This window comes from Homo sapiens, chromosome 2 (assembly GCF_000001405.40).
Source record: "Homo sapiens chromosome 2, GRCh38.p14 Primary Assembly".
Classification (NCBI taxonomy): domain Eukaryota; kingdom Metazoa; phylum Chordata; class Mammalia; order Primates; family Hominidae; genus Homo; species Homo sapiens.
Window position 1 is genome coordinate 2845150 of NC_000002.12, and position 6703 is coordinate 2851852.

Sequence of the window (6703 nt, forward strand, 5' to 3'; positions counted from 1 at the left end):
GAATTACCTCCACCTGGTCCCACTCTGACACGAGGGGATTATTACAATCCAAGGTGAGATTTGTGTGGGGACACAGAGCCAAACCATATCAACCTCAGACCACCGCAGTCAACAGTGCAGCCAATGTTTCCTGGAATCGTTGAGCAGACATCAAATGGAGTAGCTGCCTTTTGTGTAGAGGCTGTGGTATGGATGTCTCTACGTTGGACCCACACTTGGCATCATGCAAGTCACACCTATCAGACGCATGACAGAGATGAAGCCAGCTGGTCCCGAGCGTGCCTATGCCTGTCCATGTCTGTGCTGCCTCGCTGCAGGCATGCACTCTCCTGCCGTGCGCTGAGGTGGACGCTGCATGGCTGGGACATTCTCTCTACCTGTCTCTGCCTCTGTGTCTGTCTGTCCCCCACACACACATGTGCGTACACACACAATGTTGCTGGTCCCTGTCCACTAGAATGCACTCCATGTGATGACTGTGGATCCTACCACGACCAGCACCAGAAATAAGGCACCAGCACAGCTCAGGAGAGGAACTCGCCCAGGTTTTGAAAGATTTGATCCATCATCCTCACTTTGAGTACAAGTCAAAAATAAAAACCTCCAGAGGCCAACCCTTTTTAAAATTCATTTCTTATTGCCTTTCTTTTTTCTCTCCTTTTCCTCTCTAGATGGTGGCAGCAAAATTCAAAGCAAGAGAATCCCCAGGGAAAGGACAAGATGGCAAGACCCAGCCTGGGGTGGCCACGGCCCTCCTCTCTGACAGGATCCTTCCCTGGGAGGTTTTCTCTCAACTTCTACACCCAGAACTGTCTCCAAAACGGGAAGCGTGTTAGCTGGAAACGACTCGTTCCTAGCAAGGCTGCTCCATCTGCATGGGCTCGGCGCTGCTGGGATCTGGGATCCGTCCTGACTTGTGATTCTGGTGCTGTTGCCTTGGGATCCTCGCTGAAATGCCAGCCACTACGTTGGCTCCCTTATAATCACCTCTTGCCCACTAGGGAAGGTAAAATAGCATCGAATCAGGAGGAGGAGGCATCGGAAGCACTGTGATGGGGACGTGGTTAGGTTTTCTTCCTCCAGCCCTGAACAGGAGCCTCTGAATTTTTCAACAGCTGTCTTTGCCCCTCTTGGAGAAAGCCCCGTCTGTTCCCCCTTCCTCACTGCGTAATCCTTCCCATACGCCCCTGCTCGCTGCCATTTCTGAAGGACACAGGGGGCTTCTGTTACCTGAGCCCTTTTTCCCTCACAGATGCCTGCAGGCTGAGGCTTGCTGGGGAGGCCTCTTCAAGGGACGCCTAGCCCCTGGACATCATCCAAGTTGGCAGCTTCACCACAGAGCTGCTGAGAGAAAGGCGCGGGGGGCAGCCTGGGCTGGCCTGCTGAGCCAAGATAAAGCTGCAGGAACCTGCTGCTGCCAGAAGGGATGTTTGCTGGGTTCCCACAGGTGACCAATGCAGGCAGAGACCAGCCAGGACTCCAGCTCAGGGACAGTGATGGGCACAGGGTCACGCAGGGCTCTAGGCTTGGCCCAGGTTTTGAGCCAACAACACCAGCTGCCTGGTGGTGGGAACAGACACAAGCACCAGGCTCAGTTTTCAAAGCTCTCCTCCTCCTTCTCCTGTTATTTAAGGTCATACCACATTGGAAGTGAGTCAGGCAGGTGGAGCCCTTTATGTCCATGAGGCAGGTGCAGCAGCCCAGGGAGGCAGGGTGGCCTTTCCCAGGAATAGCCAGCGTCACCTGGAGGCAGAGCCAGGCGAGGGCTGTGTGGGTGGCTCCCAGCCATGTGGACAGCAGGCCTGACTGTCCCTGTCCCCATGAGCCTCATGAAGGTGCCGCGGATCCGTCCAGGCGTGGGTGTTGTTCTCTTCCGGCCCAGCCTTCTCCCTCTTTCCACACACACGATTGGGCCAGCATCTCCCGTCTGCTGCCATCTCCTCTGCTGGTGGGGGTGCGTCAGCTGACCCTGTGCCCTCTGGCCTCATTTTTCATGGGTGTTGCCACTGTCTGGCTGTCTGCCCCTTCCCACATTAACTCTCACCCTCTGGCGGCAGAGACCTTGTCTTGCCCATCTCTGTATCTCCAGCCCCCAGTGGCCCTCAGTGCGCATTTGCCAAGGGAAATATATGCAAAAAGTACATTTGCATATCACAGCCCTGTGAGGCAGACACACCCAGAATCATTGCTCCTGCTTTGCAGAGAGGGTCTGTCCCTGGACCCCGTCTTTGACTGCTGGGGCCTGAGGGTGTGGGCGGACAATGAGGCACATCAGAAGGAAGTAGAGAAGGGAGAGTGAGAGCCTGTCTTTCGTCCAGCTCCCTCCCTGCAGGGCCACCCCTGGCCAGCCTTAGACCAAAGGACACAGATGCCAGCAAATGTCTCTGCCAGCCCCCGGGGCTGGCAGGTGGCCTCCCTCCCAGCCACACTCAGATGCCATGGCTGTGATTACAAAGAACACAGGGACCAGGGCACTTGGGCTCTGTGTGACAACCCTGTGCAGCTGGGGACACACACACACCACAGCATGCCACATATACATACACACACACACATCATACACACCACAGCACAGCACACACACAAACCATACACACCACAGCACAGCACACACACACACAAACCATACCCACCAGAGCACAGCACACACACAAACCATACACACCACAGCACAGCACACACACACACACAAACCATACACACCATGGCACAGAACACACACACAAACCATACACACCATAGCACGGCACACACACAAACACAAACTATGCACACCACAGCACAGCACACACACAAACACAAACTATACACACCACAGCACACACACAAACACAAACTATGCACACCACAGCACAGCACACACACAAACACAAACCATACATACCACAGCACAGCACACAGACACACGCAGACCATACACGCCATAGCACAACACACACACACAAACCATACACACCATAGCACAGCACACACACACAAACACAAACCATACACACCACAGCACAGCACACACACAAACACAAACTATACACACCACAGCACAGCACACACACACACACAAAAACCATACACACTACAGCAGAGCACACCACACGCACAAACACAAACCATATACACCACAAAGGAGCAAACCACACGCACAAACGATACACACCACACCATAGCAAATCACACACAAACATACACACATATACCATACATACCACAGCACATCACACACACACACAAACCATACACAGACCACAGACACCACACACTACACACACCGTATCACACATGCCATGAGTGCATGCCACATGAGTGCACGCCACAAGCATGTACCCCACATGCACACACATAGACACACACACCACCTTTCCCACCAGCACAGCCGCCCTGTGGTTGGAGGAGGCTGGGAGTGGTCTTTGCTGTTTTTTGCTTAGGAAGCTGTGAGCCCAGCACAAGTCCATGTGTCTCCTCCCCTGCGGCACACTTTATCTCCCCCCGTCCCCCACCTCCCTCTCCCATCCCCTCTCTCTCTCCCCACTGTGGTCCTGGGCTCAGGCTGACAGGAATCCTAAGAGGCAGGGAGAATGGAAAAGAGACGGACTGCAGGGGCAGCTGGGGAGACACCAGCTGTTCACAGAAGACTAGCAGCCAGGCGCCCAGCCTCACCAGGAGCTGAGCAAGGCCAAGGAGAGAGGAGGGAGAGGGGAGGGCCTGGGGGTGATGGGGAGCCAGGGAGGGAGGGAGGACTGTTGAGAGGGCCTGGGTGGGGGAAGGAAGCCAGGGAGGGAGGGGAGGGAGGGAGGACTTGGTGAGGGCATGGGGGGAAGGGAAGCCAGGGAGGGAGAGCAGGAGAGGGAGGACTGTAGGGATGGACTGCGGGGAAGGGGACCCAGGGAGGGAGGTGGGAGAGTAGGACTAGGGGAGGGCCTGTGGGGGAAGGGAAGTCAGGAAGGGAGGGGACGGAGAGAGAACTGCAGGGAAGCCTCCAAGGCTCAGCCCTTTCAAGCAGGGGCTTCCTGGCCTGGTCAAGGCAGGCACCGCCCTTTCACTCCCCAAAGCTGTCCCACCCAGGGTGGAGGAGGTCAGTAAAGGTCAGTGGTCTGGTGTCTCTGCACCTGTGCAACTACCATCTGCCTGCCCCCTCCACAGCATGGGAGTTGCTGAGCCTGGAGACAGGTGCAGGCCTGGCCTCCCCTAGACCCCCTCCACCACCTAAGGGAAACTGCAAGCCCATTGGCCGCTCAGAGTCCTCCTCCACACTGAGGGTCTTTCCTGAAGGCTCCCCCTTCCTTCCTGCCCTTCCCCCCTCCCCCTCCTTCTTTTTTTCTTTTTGCTTCCCTGCTGGAAACTGCCCAGGCCCCTTGGCTGTGGGGCCCTGCAGGGTCAGGCCGGGTGGACACTGCCAGGCTCCCGTCCCCTCATTTCAGTTGCCTGGGATGCTTTTGGGAGTGGACGGAAGGGCAGGCTGGTTGTGATTAGTGATTGTTCTGGAACAACAGACGTGATTCAGAGCTTCCCCAGGCAAGCAGGCCACAGAGAACCTGACACAGATGCCCACATGCGACTCTGCCTCCCAGTGCCATGGAGCTCTGCCAGAGCCTGGGTCGTGCTCACCTCAGGAGCTGCGGTCACACCTGGGCCCTGCAGAGCCACAGGGGTCAGCAGCTCTGGAATGAATGGAAGAGTCCGTCCCTGTTGTGAGGGTCCAGTCCTCATGCTGATCCCTGGTCTACCTGCTTGCCTAGGGCAGCCCCGGCCATGGTCCAGCCGCCGTGAGAGGCCCCTGGTCCTGCTATGGTGCAGCTGCCCTGACCCTGGACAGCCCCAGCTCCTTCCTGCAGCTTCCCTCCCTCCAGCAGCTGGGGCAGGCAGCAGGGTCCATGCATCAATCATCATGTATTGGATGTCAGTGTCATTCCCCTCTATAACATTTCTGGGCCAGAGCCTCCTAAGTGGAAGCGTGAGGCAGGGACCTCGCCGACAGGGCTGGAGAGGCCGGTGCTCTCAGCAGCCCCTCCTTCACAGGTGAGGAAGTCACCCCAAATCACAGGTAAGTGGGAATCTGCAGCCACCAAGACTGCGCAGCACAGGAGGGGCGTCTTGGGGCAGGGTCCTCCTGGCCCAGCCCGGCCTTTCCCACCCCCGTGTGGCTGCCCTTCCTGGAACACCTGAGGTGCCCATCCTGCGCAGCTCCCGGGCTCTGACAGCCTGCACTCTTGCTCTGGAAGGCCAGGTCCAGCTGCACTGACACTGCGGGAGCCCCGCTTCACAGCAAGTGTCAATAGCAGAGGCCAGCCCCAGAGCACACACAGACACCCTTCCTGCTCCCAGTCACCGGGGAAGCCTTCCTCAGGGTTTCTGCAGAAGCCCTGCCCACTGCCCCCTGCAGAGAGCCATCCTGCCACAGAGATGCGCCCCAGATGCGTCCTGGATGGATCAAGTCACTGCGTGTCAGGGAACGGCTCCTCTGCTGCTCCTGATGCCTGGCCACCCGTCCCGGTCCACCCCTCGCGAGGAAGGCCAGGCCTCCGCTCCTCTGCGGAGCCTTTCAGGAACATGAGGCCGCCTGTGTCAGCCATCAGGGTACCCACCGGCGCTGCTCATCCACCTGCCACCCCCACCTGCCACTTACTCCTAGCACAAGCAGGTGCCCCATGAATCCCGCGGAATGAGTTATTTCAGGATCCGCGGAACACACGTAACCAGACCCCCCCGTTTGTTGTTTTGGGGGACATTGGAGATATGCAGGGCCCTCTCAGAACAAAATGATGAAGTCAGTGGGTGCCTTTTGAGGACCTCTGCCCCTCCCCGCTCAGCCAGCCTGCTCCTGTCACTCGGCCTAAATCACTGCTAACAGCCACTGCGGGCACCTGCACACCACAGAGCCAAGCCTTTCCCGGTAGTAAGGCTTCATTTGTGTCAGGGCTTCACAGCCTCAAGGGCAAAATTACCATCATTATGCAGCATAGGGGGGTTGTGAAGGCGGCAGCCTCCCCTAGAGTCCCTACCAGGGAGAATGCTAACCATTGTGAAGGCTCAGGTCCCCTTTCTAAAGGCAGTTTATCACTGTAACCAGGCGACACCCCCCACCGTTTGCTCTCCTGCATGGGGGGCACATGTCTGGGGCCATCTGTGAGGGTCAGGGGACAAAAGGTGCCCTGGGCCCCAGGTCCCCATCGGACTGAAGGTAGAACGGAGGGCCTGCCTCAGGTCCAGCCATGTCTCCTGCCAACCGGGGGTCAGCAGAATTATTTTTAAATACAGACCCCATTACATCATCCTCTTCTCTAGGCCCCTCAGTGACTCCCCTAGCTCAGCCTCTGCCCCTCGCACGCACAGCCTCTGGAGACAGGCTCCCTCCTGGGTTTCACCCTCCTCTCCTCTTCCTCCCAGCTGTCCCTCCCTCCCCTCCGGGACACTGCATAAGGAATTGCCCCAAGACTCAGGAGTGTACACAGGCCCTGGGCAGGTTCACAGAGCAGCTCTGCTTCCAGCTGCGGGTAGTTCCCTCAGCGCCCCCCGCCCCACCTGCTTGAACCAGGGGTCAGCCATGATGGGTCGAGAATGTTCCCCAAAAGGATATGTCAAAGCCCTACCCCCAAGTACCTGTGAACCTGACTTTATTTGGAAATACGATCTTTGCAGGTGTCATCAAGTTAGGAGGTCACTAGGGTGGGCCCTGGTCCAAAACGATTGATGTCCTCAGAAGAGGAGA

At 57.3% G+C, this 6703-nt stretch overlaps 1 annotated feature.

The window, feature by feature from the left end:
• Positions 5578 to 6485: an enhancer, noted in NCBI's record as "H3K4me1 hESC enhancer chr2:2854499-2855406 (GRCh37/hg19 assembly coordinates)". NCBI's record gives its function as "activates a minimal SCP1, AML or CMV promoter by ChIP-STARR-seq in primed H9 embryonic stem cells {active_cell/tissue: H9 hESC(primed)}" and the evidence as "EXISTENCE:reporter gene assay evidence [ECO:0000049][PMID:30033119]".